At 41.4% G+C, this 15,886-nt stretch overlaps 2 annotated features.

Moving 5' to 3' along the window:
- Positions 9,315 to 9,816: an enhancer, noted in NCBI's record as "NANOG-H3K4me1 hESC enhancer chr5:157562249-157562750 (GRCh37/hg19 assembly coordinates)". NCBI's record gives its function as "activates a minimal SCP1, AML or CMV promoter by ChIP-STARR-seq in naive H9 embryonic stem cells {active_cell/tissue: H9 hESC(naive)}" and the evidence as "EXISTENCE:reporter gene assay evidence [ECO:0000049][PMID:30033119]".
- Positions 9,817 to 10,316: an enhancer, noted in NCBI's record as "NANOG-H3K4me1 hESC enhancer chr5:157562751-157563250 (GRCh37/hg19 assembly coordinates)". NCBI's record gives its function as "activates a minimal SCP1, AML or CMV promoter by ChIP-STARR-seq in naive H9 embryonic stem cells {active_cell/tissue: H9 hESC(naive)}" and the evidence as "EXISTENCE:reporter gene assay evidence [ECO:0000049][PMID:30033119]".

Here is a 15,886-nt window from a genome sequence, read left to right on the forward strand (position 1 = left end):
CCACTGCTAACCCATATGGACTTTCCAAATTCCCTGATTCTTTAGTATCTTCCAACTCCTTTCAATTTAGTAGATTTCTGGATCTCATCCACTTGGTCTTCTCTTATTTCATGGTTATCTAGGCTTATGGTCTAACAATGGCACCCTGAATTTTCAGGAGTGAGGCTTCTTGAGAAATGAATGAATTGCTGAATTTTGGAAATATGATTTTTTGTAGGGAAGGAAACAAGCAGCTTGGTTATCTAGTCTTGAGAATGCAGCCTGACAACTGTGGCTTGATTGGTCTAGTCTTTGCTACTGGCATGTACGGGAAGAAAGGAGGCAGAAACTTCTTTCTTGTTGCACATTTCTAGGCTCCATTCTGCAGTCCCCACACTATAACACCTTCCTCAAAGGGGCTTGTTTCCCATGTGAAGAAAGCAAGATAATCAACCAAGTTATTGAAAACAACAGTCATTTCAGCCAATCAGTTGTTTTTTTTGACTGTAGAATAGGTGCTAAAGAATTTTCCTGTGACTCCCAAATAACCAGACCCTGTCATGAGGGGCCAAGGAAGGAACTTGACCTCTTGGCATCCAAACAACCCTTTTTTTTTTTTTTTTTTTTTTTTAAGATGCAACCTTTATTTGTGTTCAGGAGCCTGTTAATTCATAGGCAGAGATAAGGTCGTTAACCACAGATTCTTACCTCATCCTCTAGTGCCCTATCTTAAAAAAAAAAAAAAAAAAACCTGAACTGTATGGTTACCACAAAGAGATGTCTAATTTTAGGAATCTCTTGATTTTGACACATGCCTCACAACGCCACTGACTCTTGGCAACATCCAGGACATCGTGAAGAGAAAAGAGCCTGACAATCCCAAGTCATTCAGTTGTGTTCTGGTCACCATCTCTTGACAGGGCTTGGCCCCAAACCCCAGTGTGGCCTTCCCACCTGTTCCCTGGTTTTCCTGCTTCGTTTGTGGTTCTCATAAAGACGGTAAGCAATTAGGCTGTTCAGTTGTGGCACATGGTAGTGTAAAATTATGGAATTTAGGATTTTAATGAGTTCAGGTGCCATACAAAAGAACTCCCCCCAGTTCCTGCCCCCACCCCCATCCATAAAATTATATGGCTTTAGAATTGGGTCTTTATGCAGCCTGGACTAAGCCATTTTATTTAAAGAAAAAAAAATTGACCAGGAAAAAAAAAAGAACCAACACAATTATATGCAGATTTGTTCATAAATCAGGCACTGCAGCAGCTGTGCGGCACATGTTGGCGATCCCGAGTTTGCTGCTGGAACTTGAAAGATAAACATGAACCTGTTTCTACAGAGGAAAATCTGTTCACAGCGAGGGGCTGACCCTGTTTTTTAAACAAGGCTCATGGTGTGGCAGCCTGCTGTGCCCTGCTCCGTGTTGCTGTTTGGTGGTGAGGGTCACATAAAGAAGGGACCAAAGAATGAGAAGCGATTTGCCCAGAGTGCAAAGGAGTCAGCAACTGACCCCACACAATGGGCAGAACCTGACTCTCCCACCCAACATTCTAGGGTCGCATTAGCTAGGTCACTGGGGCAGGCAGATTTTTCATATGTATTTTCAGAGGTGAAAGATCTTTTGCCTTGGAGTCAAATTATGTAGAAAAAAAAGTATGCAATTTATGATAAAAGGGTAGTTTGAGACTTATGTCCTTTTAAATATATGCACGTGTCTCCAGAGTTCCTGCTAAGCCCTGTGCTTGCCCTAGGTGTGGAGAAAGGAAGGACAAACAGAGGGGATCCATCTGTTTCAGGATTCACTGCAAGGCTGATTGCTTTTGCTCAGGCCCCGTGCCAACAGAAACTCATTGTAAGGTCCAGCTGTTTCCTTGGCCCAGGTATTCCTTGGGGGATGGAATGTAGTGCAATATATTTCTTAGTTGGCTTTTTGTGGAAATGGGTACCCTGGGTCGACCTGCCTCTGTCTGCCTCAAATTGAAGAGGCCCTGTAAGTAAGGTGAGGGTTGCTTTGTGGCAATATGGTGGAGGCTGATACATCTGTGAGATCAGTTAATTAACCAGGGCTCATGGTGATAGAAACTTCCTGAAGTAGACATGACCAACCTCCTTTCTTCTTTTACTGAAAAAAAGAAGCGAGTTTTGGAGAAAGTCTGATTATCTTCTTTTCCTGTTGCTTTCTCCTTGGAACTGAGCTATCTCAGTGCTCCATTGAGAAGAGTTAATAGTAAGGAGAACCCTTTAATGATTCAGTTTAAATGCATGGTTCTGGGCCTTTCAAGAACTTTACCCCAGCACAGTCCTCTGTGCCAGGAACTGGCCAAGTGAAAAGGTCTGTCAGCCCTAGGTGATTTCCTTAACCTGAGAAAACGTTAATGATTCCAGAGGCATGGCTTTTCATTCTTTCAGATGACTACTGTTTAGTGTCACCCACAAGAGTCTAAAAGAAATCTCATATACTCAAGACACTCACACACAAGCACACATATACACCAACAGATACATACTCACATACAAGTGATGCATTATGATTAATAAATGAATGGAGCTATTTGTTATTTATTATTTAAACCTTCAATACTGGCTGGCCTGAGTGATACATGAAATATAGCCAAGTAATTTATTTATTAGGGAAAATAATGATTTTTTTCCCACAGCATAACCTCCTCTGACCCAAAACAGCAAGAGCTTTATCAAATACAAATACGATGGCTTGTAATTTTAGAGTCTTCCAGAGCATTGTAACTGACAACCTTTTTAACATAAGTACATTGAACAAATAATTTATAGACATATTCTGGGAATATTTTAGGGTGTTTTATTACTACTTTTGAAAGCTATGGCATATTATTGATTTTGGCATATTAATATAACCTAAGAGGGAGGGCACATGCTCAGCTCCTAATCCACATCAGCTTTGATGGCAAACAATATATTTCACTGAAAGGAACCTTGAACCAAAGCAGCAGAGGTTAGCAATTACACATCATAGCCCAAAGTTTAAGATAATGAATTTCACTCATTAGAGAACTCCCACTTTGGGGACTGAAACAAGCTTTCCTTACTTGGGGTTTCATTCCAAATTCTCAACCACCATTTGTCAGCGTGAGCTTCCCTTTCCTTATCTCCATTCAACTCCTGCCACTTCCTTGGGATTTTTAAAGCCTGCTTCCTGCTGAAGAAGTCACCATTACCCCTTTTTCAAAATATGTTTCCAAAAACATATTTTTAGAGTGGGTTTTGGGGACTTGTTTAAAAGAGCTTATTATGTTCTTCCTCTTTGTATTTACTTGCTTTTTCCAGGTAGTTTCTAGGCAATTAATCCTTGAGTTATCAATGTTTTATTAGTCCACTTTCACACTGCTGTAAAGATATTACCCGAGACTGGGTAATTGATAAAGGAAAGAGGTTTAATTGAGTCAGTGTTCCGCATGGCTGGGGAGGCCTCAGGAAACTTACAATCATGGCAGATGGGAGGCAGCAGGTGAGAGAGAGAGAGAGAAGAAAGAAGGGGGAAGAGCCCCTTATAAAACTAAAAGATAGGCCGGGTGCGGTGGCTCACGCCTGTAATCCCAGCTCTTTGGGAGGCCGAGGCAGGTGGATCATGAGGTCAGGAGTTCGAGACCAGCCTGCCAACATGGTGAAACCCTGTCTCTACTAAAAATAAAAAAAATTAGCCAGGTGTGGTGGCAGGTGCCTGTAATCCCAGTTACTCGGGAGGCTGAGGCAGGAGGATCACTTGAACCCAGGAGGCAGAGGTTGCAGTGAGCAGAGATGGTGCCACCAGCCTGGGCAACAGAGCAAGACTCCATCTCAAAAAACAAAGAAACAAACAAAAAAACAAAAAAATCTAACAGATGTCGTAAGAACTCATTCACTATCATGAGAACAGCATGGGGGAAACCACCCCCATGATCCAATCACCTCTTTCCCTCAACATATGGAGATTACAATTCAAGATGAGATTTGGTGGGGATACAGAGCCACACCATATCAAATGTCTTCTTCATATATTTTAAAATCATCCACCTCTTCATTATGTTTAGACAGACCCTGAGCTTATTACAAAGACTTCATTGTCCAAATTCCTGACCTCAGTGTTTAGAAACCTCTCCAAATTGTGCCCACTATGTGCAGCCTTCAGCAAGAACTCGGTGCTTAAGCTTCACTGGCCTCTTGCTGCATCTGAAACCTCTTTATCCTTGCTGCCTTTCTGCCTTTGATTCCATCTATTTTTTATGTGAAGATTTTCCTGACCATTCTGATATATAGTCATTTTCTCCTTCGCTGAACCTCTATACAATTCAGCAGCTTTCTCTTATAATTTGACACTTTATCAGGAGCGGCCTTGAATTAGTCCTAGTTTCTCTTTCACAAGTATTGTTGATCCTAGATGGACTACAGGTAATTTGAGGAAAGGAGTCATATAGGTGACATTTTCCTTGTAGTCTCACATCACTTAGAATGCAGCTGAACAGATAATGGCAGCTCAGTATCTATGAAATTCAGTATACACCAAATTTAAAATATAATGAAATCTGAGAAAAATTGACAACAATTTTGAAAGTATGGCATGGCCCATCACCTTCTAATGGTTAAAAATTGCAACGTGATCTGAAATTTTATAAAATTCTTTTGGGCTTAATTGTAGGGGATGAACTTTCCTTTCCTTTATTTTTTTAAATTAAAAATTTCTTATGATAAATATTGTAAATGTTCCCATTAGAAATATCTGAAAATTTGGAAAAGCAAAAAGAAGAAAATAAAATAATCTATCATATTTTATAGAAGGTTCCATTAATAGCTTGGTATATACTCTTTTATACTATTTCTGTGTATATATATGGATTTATGTATATATACACACACCTGTGTATACATTGCTATTACCGCCTTTATTAATTCCTTAGGATAAATTAATAGAAATAGATGAAACATAAAGACATTTGTAACTTATAGAAACAAGTGTGTGTGTATGTGTTTGTGTCAGTGTAAGTACTTTAAAAAAGTATCACACACTATGTACTGTTTTGCAACCTGTTTCTCCACATCAATAATGTAGCTTTAATGCCTGCATAGTAATCATTGTATCTTAATTTACTTAACCAGTTAATTTGTATTGAACATTTTGGGTTTTCAACTTTTCACTCTTACAAACAATGCTAAAAATGAGCTGTCTTGTACATAAATATTTTGTACGTTTTTCATAATTTCCTCAGGATAGAGTCCTAGAAGTGGAATTTCCAGGACAACAGGGCATGCGTATTTTAAGACATCTAAGGCACCAAACTGCTTTTCAGAAAGATGGCACTCATTTATAGTACTATGGGTGGTAATTGAGATGACTGATACCTTGTTATTCCAAAGTTATTGCACTCGAACTTGAAGAACCATGGTTTGGGTTTACAACGAAGGAAGTGAGCAACCTGCACTGTTCTATTACAGTGTTCTTCCCAAAAGACAGACCTGATAGGCCACTTCTGTGCTGAAAGTCTCCATTGATCTCTGATGCCTGAGGAACCAAGTTTCAACTCCTCAGCCAGGCCTTTTGTAACCTGTCCTCAACCTATGGCTGAGCTCCACTGACCTCATTCTCCCATATCTATGCACTTTAACCTCTTTCTGTGCCAAGCATCTCACCTTGGCCGGAACACGCCCTCCCTTCTGTGCCTCTGCAGCTCTATACCTGGGGCAATGCTCATTTACACAAAAGCGGATGCATATAGCTGTGGATTAGTCAAAGTTCAAATAATAATGGCCAGTGCATTTATCAAAAATGAAATAACTCACAGTTATAACTGTATGATAAGTCTCCATTGCTTCTTGTGACATAAATAAAAGAGTAGCTAATGTTACCCCTGAGCAAAGTAGAGTGTTGTGTGCTTTCGTTGGATTATCATTTTTAGGTGTGTTATACCCATGTGACAGATGAGGAAACTAAGATTCAAAAAGATTAAGTAAATTGTCTAAGGAGATGACTAGAAAGTGGCAGACTTGGGAACTGACAACAGGAAGCATGATTGTGATAATACTCTAAACCTCACCAGACCACACTGTCTATAAGAGATGCTGAGGCCGGGCGTGGTGGCTCATGCCTGTAATCCCAGCACTTTGGGAAGTTGAGGCAGGTGGAACACTTGAGGTCAGAAGTTCAAGACCAGCCTGGCCAACATGGTGAAACTCCACCTCTACTAAAATACAAAATTATCTGGGTGTGGTGTCATGTACCTGTAATCTTGGGAGGCTGAGGCATGAAAATCGCTTGATCCTGGGAGGTGGAGGTTGCAGTGAGCCAAGAGCCAAGATAGTGCCACCGCACTCCAGCCTGGGTGACAAAGTGTGACTCTGTCTAAAAAAGAAAAAAAAAAAAAAAAGAAAAATGCCTCTTTGCATGTCTTGGCAGCCTGCTAGTTTCACACCATCAAGTGTCCACAGAATAAAGATGTGCCTCCTGGCTTAAAAAAGGTCAAGGACCTCATGTATCTCTGGAATCCAAGATTAAGTTGCACAGTTCAGGCTCTAAAATGAAAAGTTAAAAGGTCTAGTTGCAACTTTAAGTTTACCTTATCCATGTAGATCAGGGCTTCTCAACTGTGCATGACTGACATTTTGGACTAGAGCATTCCCTGTTGTGGGGGGGTGGTCCTGTGCATTGCAGGATGTGTAGCAGCATCCCTGGATTCTACCCAATGGATGCCAGTAGTATCCCTGCCTCCAGTTGTAACAATCAGAAATGTCTCCAGACACTGTTGAATGTTCCCTGAGCAAACAAAATGGCCCCTAGTTGAGAGCCACTCATGTAGAGAATATATTTTGTTTTGTCATGCCCAACTTATTATCCCCTGCTATGTGCATGGATTATGTATAATGAACAGAGCGAGGGAAGAGAGAAACTAATATAGAAAGAAGGAAAAGATACTTGGAATATTGGTGATGCTGACATCTCAGGATCTATGAGAACTGCAAATTGGGAGATATATTCCCCTGAATGCATGTGAGAGGTTCCAAAAATGCCTTTTGGGAGAAGAGCATTGGCTGGCAAAAAAGGAAATTGAGTAGATGGGTCAACGTCAGAGGGTAGAGGGGACAGCTGGACCACAGAGGAGTTGTTCACAGGGAACAGCAGAAGAAGGGTGGAGTTAGGAGACAGCATAGCCTAGAAGAAAGATATCAGATTTTGGAGTGAGACAGACAGTAGCTTGATTTCTAGCTTGGCCCCTTATTTGCTGTGTGACTGAGGGTGAAATACCCTATCTATCTAAGTTTCAGTTTAACCATCTGTAAAACAGGACTGTGTCAAAAAGTTAACATGTGGATAAATGAGATTAAATGTGGTACACATGGAAAATGTTGAGCGTAGTGTTGGACTACAGTAGGTGCTCCGATAATGATAAACAGTAGCTATTTTATAGGCTTTAACGAGATAATGGCCTGTAATGCTCCTAGACAAAGACTGGAACACAGTAAATGCTGTTATTAACTCTTAGGTAGGAATAGATTTGAAATCCAGACCTAGAAGTTTAAGTGGATGGGAAAGAAGAGATTTAGTGCATTTGAATAATAATAGGAAACCAGGCAACTGTGATTTTAGGAAGATGGGGTGGGTAATGGCCTTGGGATGGACTCTACCAAGGAGAGACTGAAATGAATCATTCAGGAAGTGCATGCAATAACATAGGCAGGAAGAAATGAGGACTGGGTCAGATTTCTGGTCTCTGTCTTTGCAGAGCTTTAGTATAACTGGTAGATGGTATAAGCATTCCTGAAACAAACGTGTGAACACTAGAAAATAGGGCAAAATTATACACTACTAAACCTCAATTTTTAAAGAAGCTTAATATAAAGAATTCAAAGACCTAGTCATTGGATTTCTCTTAGGTCTGTTGTTGGATTTCTCTCAGGCCCACTCTACTTTCTTTTGGGTCCTTGAGAACAGGGGTTCATCCCACGTGTAGGTGGCTATTGTTTTTGTTGGCTCAGCACCCCTGTCCTGCACCTGGGGCTAGTGGATGGTGTCCTCCCGGGTACTCTGCCTGCCTCAACCTGGGGGAAGGCACATGATCTAAGCCGGGTCTATCATAACATTCTATCCTTTGAACACAGTGATTGTTCTAGGGATTGGCATGTGACCTAGGCCAGGCCAATAGAATTCTTCCCTGTGATTTCACACCTGAAAATGGGACCGGGAAATCCTAATTTTTTCTCTGATCATAAAGTGGTAAGAATGTGATTCCAGAGCTGTTTTTTTTTTTGTTTGTTTGTTTTTTTTTTTTTTTTTTTGAGATGGAGTTTTACTCTTGTCACTCAGGCTGGAGTGCAGTGGTGTGATCTTGGCTCACTGAAACCTCTGCCTCCTGGGTTCAAGCGATTCTCATGCCTCAGCCTCCCAAGTAGCTGAGATTACAGGCACCTGCCACCAGGCCCAGCTAATTTTTGTGTTTTTAGTAGAGATGGGGGTTTCTCTATGTTGGCCAGGCTGGTCTTGAACTCCTGATCTCAGGTGATCAGCCCACCTCAGCCTCCGAAAGTGCTGGAGTTACAGGTGTGAGCCACTGATCCTGGCCTCCAGAGCTGCTCTTGAAGTCTGAGAGAATGAAGCTGATATCAGTGACAAGCAGGGATAAGAAGTGAAGGGGAAGAAGGTAGGGAGAAGAATTGAGAGAGGAAAGAGAAGGAGAGGAGAAAAAGGACATATAGAGTCCCTTGTCCCATATTTCTGTGGAAATGCCCTTGTCCACAGAGCTTTTCCTTCAGTTTTGTAAGCTAGTCCACTGCCCTTCTGACAGATTGCTTCACTTTTGACTTAGGTGAGTTCAATAACTGAAATCTGACAAATAAACTCATGGCTTGGACATCTTTAGTGTCTGATGATGTCCAGAAGCCCTATAAGGATTGCTTTGCACCTGGCAATGTTTGTTTAGGAATGTAATAAATAGTTATTGAGCATCTGCTATGTGCCAGGCACTAGGCTAGCTGCTGAGAATATAACAGTGTGACAAATGAGATTCTTGCTTTCTGGGTGCTTTCAGCCTAGCAGGACAGACAGCCAAGTGTGACAGGGAGAGCAGATAGTGTAAAGGAAGAATAGTATCAGGGCCACCTTATGTAGTTTATGGAGAGTGTTCAGGTCAGAATCCCCACAGCAAAAGATGTTTAAGCTGAGGTCTGAAAGAAGAGTAGGAATAACTCAGGAGAAAGGGATGAGGAACAGGGTCTTAAGTAGAGAACACAATCTGGAGGAGAGAGGGGATGGGGCAGGAGAAAGGAGATGGGGAAGGAAAGAGGGGATAGGGAAGGAGAGAGGGGATGGGGCAGGAGAAAGGGGATGGGGAAGGAAAGAGGGGATAGGGAAGGAAAGAGGGGATGGGGAAGGAGAGAGGGAGGGAGAGAGGTAGAAAGAGAGAAAGAGACAGAATCTCTCCATGGAAAGAACTGGAGTTTGGAGTGGCTGGAGCAAGGTTTTTTTGCATCTGTAGCTTCAGAACCATATGGGGGAGGTCTCCCAGTTACACTTTCCACAGACTATACTCAGGACCGAGCAATCTGCCTTGGGGGCCACCAGTCCCCTTCTGTGATAGTGCAGCTTGCAAATCACGCCTTGTGCTCTGGGGCCATCTCATTGGAGTCAGGGTTGAGAAGGGAGGGAGGAGATTAGAATAGACATTTATTTTTCATTTTGCATTTAGCTTGGGGTGGGCTGACTGCTTTTCAGGATCTGATTATTCCCCTTCGGAGGGTCCTGTGGTCAGGCGCCAACTGTGAGGATCTGTTACCATGGGTGACATTTTCATCCAATGGAGAGCCATGCTGCTTGTTTGCAGAGTGGCAGATGGAGCAGCTAATCGATGCAGTCTGAAAGGTAGGAGTCCCCCGCCCCCAGTGGCCCCAACACACAATGAGAGCTGGGCCCCAGGGGCTTGTGGAACACACGCCAGTGACTGAGCCTTTGATTGGAAAAGACCTTGCTCACCAGGGGTGCTGGCCCCAAACAATGCCCTGTTCTTTACCAAGACAGCCTCAGCACTTGCAGGATTTTTACAGCCCTGGCCTCAGGCAACACTCCTGGGAAAAGGTACTGCCAAACCCAAGGCAGCTCTGTGTGGATGATACTGAGTATTTCATTCCAGTAAAAATCAGCAGGCATTTGTTAGGATCATCTGTGTTCAAGCAATATCCTGAGTGGTGGAAAAGAACAAGCTAGCGTCTTCCTCCCAGGACCTTATGATGATGCAATTGGGAGCTTTCAGTATGGTCACAGAGTAGCCACTCAGCCAACCAGCCAACTCATTTATTGAATAAACTTGAAATGAGCATCGACAATATGCCAAGCATTATGTTGGGAGCTGGGGATGCAAAGAAGGCTAAGAGATGGTTGGTGGCCCCCTGGTACCATATTTAACTCTGTGTATGATCTAACAATAGCAATAGCTAGGACTTACTGAATTTTTCCTCTGCACCATCTCCTTAAACATTTTTAACTTTATGAGATAGGTTACCAATATTATCTCTGTTTTTGGGTAAGGGAGCTGAGGCCTAGAGTAGAACAGTGATTTTTCCATCATCACCCTGATTAGACTTTGAATTTAGGGCTACTGCTGACCTACAGTTTAGTACCATTTCTACTGGTGTCACAGTGCTTTAGCATTTATATATTTTATATATATATATATATATTTTTTGGCAAAAATGTATATATATAAATTTTATTGGTAAATATACTGAGTGCCTAATAACATGTCAATTCTTTTGGATAGCTTAAGATCAGGTGGTGAGAAAAAAATTGTTCATTGACTTCTTAATCCCAGTGGATGAGGTTTCAGGAAACCTGGGTCCTCATAATTGTGAGTGAGGTAGGTCAAGGCCATCCATCAAACTGAACCTCAACTTTGTCATCCTCAAGTAAGAATATTAAAGTTGACCTTGTGCCTACTTCCAGGGTTTTATGATAACCAAAGGGAAACCATAGAAAGATGTAATCCGTGGAACCAATAGGATAGCACATCTGGCAATCAGTTATCTTCCGGGTGTTGTGTTCTTCCCAGAGCCAGTTGCTGTTACCATTCATGGTTTCTGCTGTTTGGGCTGAGGAGGCTAGCAGGTAAGAAGTTCCTGGAGTTGGAGGGGGCAGATCGCTAAATAAACAAGGAGATCGCTCTTCCCTCTACTTGCTCTTGCAAGAAAAATGAAATGAAACACAGCAAAATTTTTGTTTCCCTCCTTCCTCTCTTTTTCCTTGTAGTTTTCTAAAGTCTTATCCTACAATACTGCCCCCACCCCATTGGTAATTTATTTCTCTAAGCCACCACACACATGAGCATCACTATTTTAATTAGCAAGAAACAAACCGAAGAAGCTAGAAGGCACAGCAAGGAAGCCCACCACTTGCACTCTTTAATTATTCATCGAGGTAAATAAAATCAAATATTTTCTCAGCAATCCAGAGTGGGATCTGAAGTAATTACACTGTCAAATTCATCAAAAATTCTCTCATCAAAATAAAAACCTTGATGTCATTTAATAATTTATAATACAAATACACAGAAATTGTAAAATATTATAAATAGAAAACTGCAGGGTAAGTGAACATGAATTAGTTAGGGGTTATGTTCTCGAAAGAGGCTGTCATGAGCTGTATAAATTTTTAATAAGAAATATTTTTGAGGCCTAATTTAGAGTACGGAATCTACCAGGAACTTCAGAATACAAAAAGCACAACCAAACACCACCATCAAATTCCTGCTGCCTGGAGATTTGTAAACATTGCTTTCTGAGAAAAACTGAGGGCTCAAAATGATTTCAGGCAGAAGGAAGGGATGTTGTCTTTGATGTTCCAGATCACCTGTGACACCTTACATGCTGTCTACACGGGTTACAAATGAATTAATTAACCTTCGTGTAATGACCATGAATAGCAAATGGGAAAAGTCTGGTTCATTTCCACCAAGACAGAAAAAGGCCATTTCAGCCATTGTGCCTTGTAAAACAATGTGTGATTCTGGGAGCCAGATGGTTTCATCCCAGTTTGAAATGGTTTTGATCTGTTGAGTTTCTGTATGGAAAAAGCCTGAAGCAAAGAGAGGAGACCAGATTTTTCTTTTTCTAACTCTACGAGAGAATTCTCATACATACTTGTCGTGCCCTGATTTACCAAACCATCTCTGGGGACTTACCTGTTCCCAGACAGATGAACAGTGGGCAAGGATTTGTTTCACAAGAATGAATGGGGGGGAAGTAGCCCCATTGAGCAGAAATGAAAAGCATGCTTTCAAGACAGTTAATGAGAAAAGAAGCAAGGTCAACTTTCATTCAAGAATGTCAGCGATTAGCATGAACAGTGACATGGCAGTCAGAAAGATCTTTTCACAAAAAGGTAAAACTGAGGACAGGGCTCTTCCCTTAGCCTCTCCAGCTTCCTTGAACACATGCTCGGCACTTTCTTTCTCCTTCTTTGCTGGACAATGTCTTTCTTATACTTCAGGACTCAGCTTAGATGTTTCCTCTTCCATGAAGCCTTCCCTGATCACCAGATGGCATCAAGTTGGCTTATTATATCTCCCTGGCACTTTCTGTCTTCCCTTTATAAACTTGTCAGATCTGTTATATTTAGAATAAATTGCCAGTAATAATGTCTTTATTGTCTCCCATAATGAATAGAGTCTTGGTGAAGGAAGCAACCATGGATGTCAGTGATCCTTCTTTTGGCTCCCACAATAAAACCCTTTATGATCTTGATCCTTCAAGATCCTGATTAAGATCCTTTACTCTGACCTCCACTCCTGTCCTCCCCAAATTGTCCACTTAGATTGGCCTCTTCCCTGTTCCTGACCTGCTCCTGCCTCCTCTCTCTAGAATTCATGGCATATCCGGATATCTGCATGGCATATCCTTCACTTTCACCTCCACCTTCACCTTCTTCAGGTCTTTACTCGAATTTTATGTCCCCAGTAAAGTCTTCCCTTTAAAAAATTTTAATCCATTTCCCACCTCCCAATACTCCCTATCCCCCTTTCCTGCTTCTTTGGGTTCTTGTTGACATTTAGCTTCAGCTAGCCTGCTGCGCATTTTACTTGTTTACCTTGCTTATGGCCTGTCTTTACCCTCTAATTTAAGCTCCACAGGGCAGGGATCTTTATCTGTTGTTTGTTCCTGCGTCACCAGTGTGTAGAACATGTCCTGACACACAGTAGGCTCTCAGCAAATATTTATTGAAAGAAAAATGGAAGTAACTATCTTTAGGTGGCAGGAAAACAGATGATAGGCGAATACCTTCATGGGAAATGCTTTTATGAGAATGCTGGGGTTTGGAGGAGAGGATGCTGTGGTAGGTGTGGTGGGGGGTGATGGAGAACACTCAACAAGGTGAACTCAAGGCCATAGGCCTTGAGATCTCATCCAGGCCTGTGTGAGGTCTCAATGCCTACGGCTTCTGAGAACGACTCATGCTTGGTGAGGCAATAGGTGATCCTATGGGAAAGAATGCTTGGCGAGGAAATGACTCTCTGCTGCTGTAGGCCAGGGATGACAAATGGGCTTCAATAGCAGTGCCAATTCCAATTGATTGGTAGTGGGTGCTGGGAAGGCTGTGTTGAGAATTCTGAGGCTGTTTCTGGGCCTAGTGGAAGAGTGTTGTGATGAACTGGCAATGTCAAGAGCTTGGAAGGGGCGTGTGGTAGCATTTGTACCATGCATTTGCATACTGACCTCTAAGCTTGAAGTTGGTTCTGTTTTTTTCTCCTGAAAATCTAAGCTTACAAGGAGACTAATAATAACCCCATAGTTTATTTGTTTTAGATTCTACTGAAAGCTAAGTGTTTTGTTTGTTTGTTTGTTTTTGTTTTTGAGACAAGGTCTCACTTTTTCACCCAGGCTGGAGTGCAGTGGTACAACCACCACTTACTGCAGCCTCGACTTCCAGGGCTCAGGTCATTCTCCTACCTCAGCCTCCTGAATAGCTGGAACTACAGGCGCACACCACCATGCCTGGCTAATTTTTGTATTTTTTGGTAGAGATGGGGTTTCGCCATGTTGCCCAAGCTGGTCTTGATCTCCAGGGCTCAAGTGATCTGCCCTCCTCCATCTCCCAAAATGCTGGGATTATAGGCGTGAGCCACCACGTCTGGCTAGAGCTAAGTGTTAAGGTACTTGTGAAGACCCTAAGAATCTAGACCCTTCAGGGATTGAGACATATTCTTTGGGTTGATTGATCTAGTTTTTACTGCAGGGGATAGAATGGCTTTGCTATGTTGGGGGTTTATAGCTTAGGAACTCAGATACGGAGAGCAGAACTCTTCTAGTCTCCCTTCTTTATGTTGGCTGTTCATACCAATCCTCTGTTGCTAAGACAGTTTGCAGTAAAATGACCCAAGACAGATGGTTATGTAAAACCTTGGCCTCAAGTAGAGGCTCTGACCCTAATGTCATTAGCTCAACATGCCAATCCTGTGAGCTCACCAGCCCAGAGAAAGCTATCCCCTTTCCTCCCAGTACTGCCATCAACCTCATCTACACCAGCTCGCTTCCGAGCTTCAGCTCCTCTCCTCTAATGGCATTGCTCCTTTTCAGGAAGCCTCCCCGGTCCCTATGTGGGACACCCTTTGTGTCATCTAATGTTCCCTTAGCTTAGCTTATCTGCTTCTTTGCAGCTGTCTCAGTGTCTGCCTGATCCAGTTTCTTACACTATCTCAGTGATTTATGTGTTTTTAGTATTTTCACTTGTCTCTTCTCTCTCCCTCCCTCCTTTTAAGCTCATTGAGAAGAGGGACCATTATAAATATGTCTTTTGTGTCTTTTATCTTGACTACATATAAAGATCTCAGCACATACTTTTGTCTGAAATGATCACCACCTGACACACTGTTGGCTGGATTCAATGGGTCCAACAGTCCAATGGTACAATTGGTATAAGCTTTTTGAAGGATGATTTGGCAATATCTATCAACATTTTGAATGAGCATATTTCTTCTCCCAGCAATTCTACTTCTTGGGATTTATTCTACAGATATATTCAGAGAAGTGTGAAAAGATCTATATTTTTATATAAAAGGATTATCCAATATAGAATTTTTTGTGATGGTGAAAACTAGAATGACCTAAATATTCATTCCTTGGAGAGATTATGATATAAATGATGTATTCATAATACATTATCAAAGTAAAATACTATGTAATTGTTAAAAAGGAAGAAGTAACTCTCTATATATTCAGAAGCAAAAATATTCATATAGGGATCAAAGCAAAGTGTAAAAAATTATGTATAATTTTATAAAATGATTTTTTGGTCATAAGTCCCATATATATGTGTGTGTAGATATGGATAAATACACACATACATGTACAGACATGTGACTATACATAGAAAAGGATAAGAACATGTCCCAATTTATCAGTGATTTATCTATAGTGGATGGGATTATGAAAGCAAGGCATTTCATTTTATTTTTTAAACCTTTACTGTTTTAGAAAACAATTTAATGAATCATTCTATGATGAAAAGCTATTTTAAAGAAGAGTTAATTATAAAAGGGCATGGCAGTTTTTCTGTTTTCATAAAATATCCTAAAGTTCAGGGGTGTTTTCAAAACAATTTAGCAGCCATTTTAGTTACCTCTATGGTGCTTAGCTTTTTCTTAGAAGCATTAAATGCAGACTAAATGTGGTGTTTTATAAGGAAATTGTTCTCCCTTTTCTCATTGAAGTTCTGGGACTATGTGACTTGCTCTGGTTGATGAAATGAGAGTGAAAGTGATACTGTCATTTCTGAATTAAAGTTTTAGGAGCCAGTTCATGGTTTGCCATTCTCTCTTTTTCTTTTTGTCACAAGACGAGCAATATTTCAGGAGAGTTTCTCTATCAGTCTCGGTTCCCGAAGCAGAACTTTAGCCAACCCTGATGGACATGTTCCATGAGCAAG

This window comes from Homo sapiens, chromosome 5 (genome assembly GCF_000001405.40).
Source record: "Homo sapiens chromosome 5, GRCh38.p14 Primary Assembly".
Taxonomy (NCBI): Eukaryota; Metazoa; Chordata; class Mammalia; order Primates; family Hominidae; genus Homo; species Homo sapiens.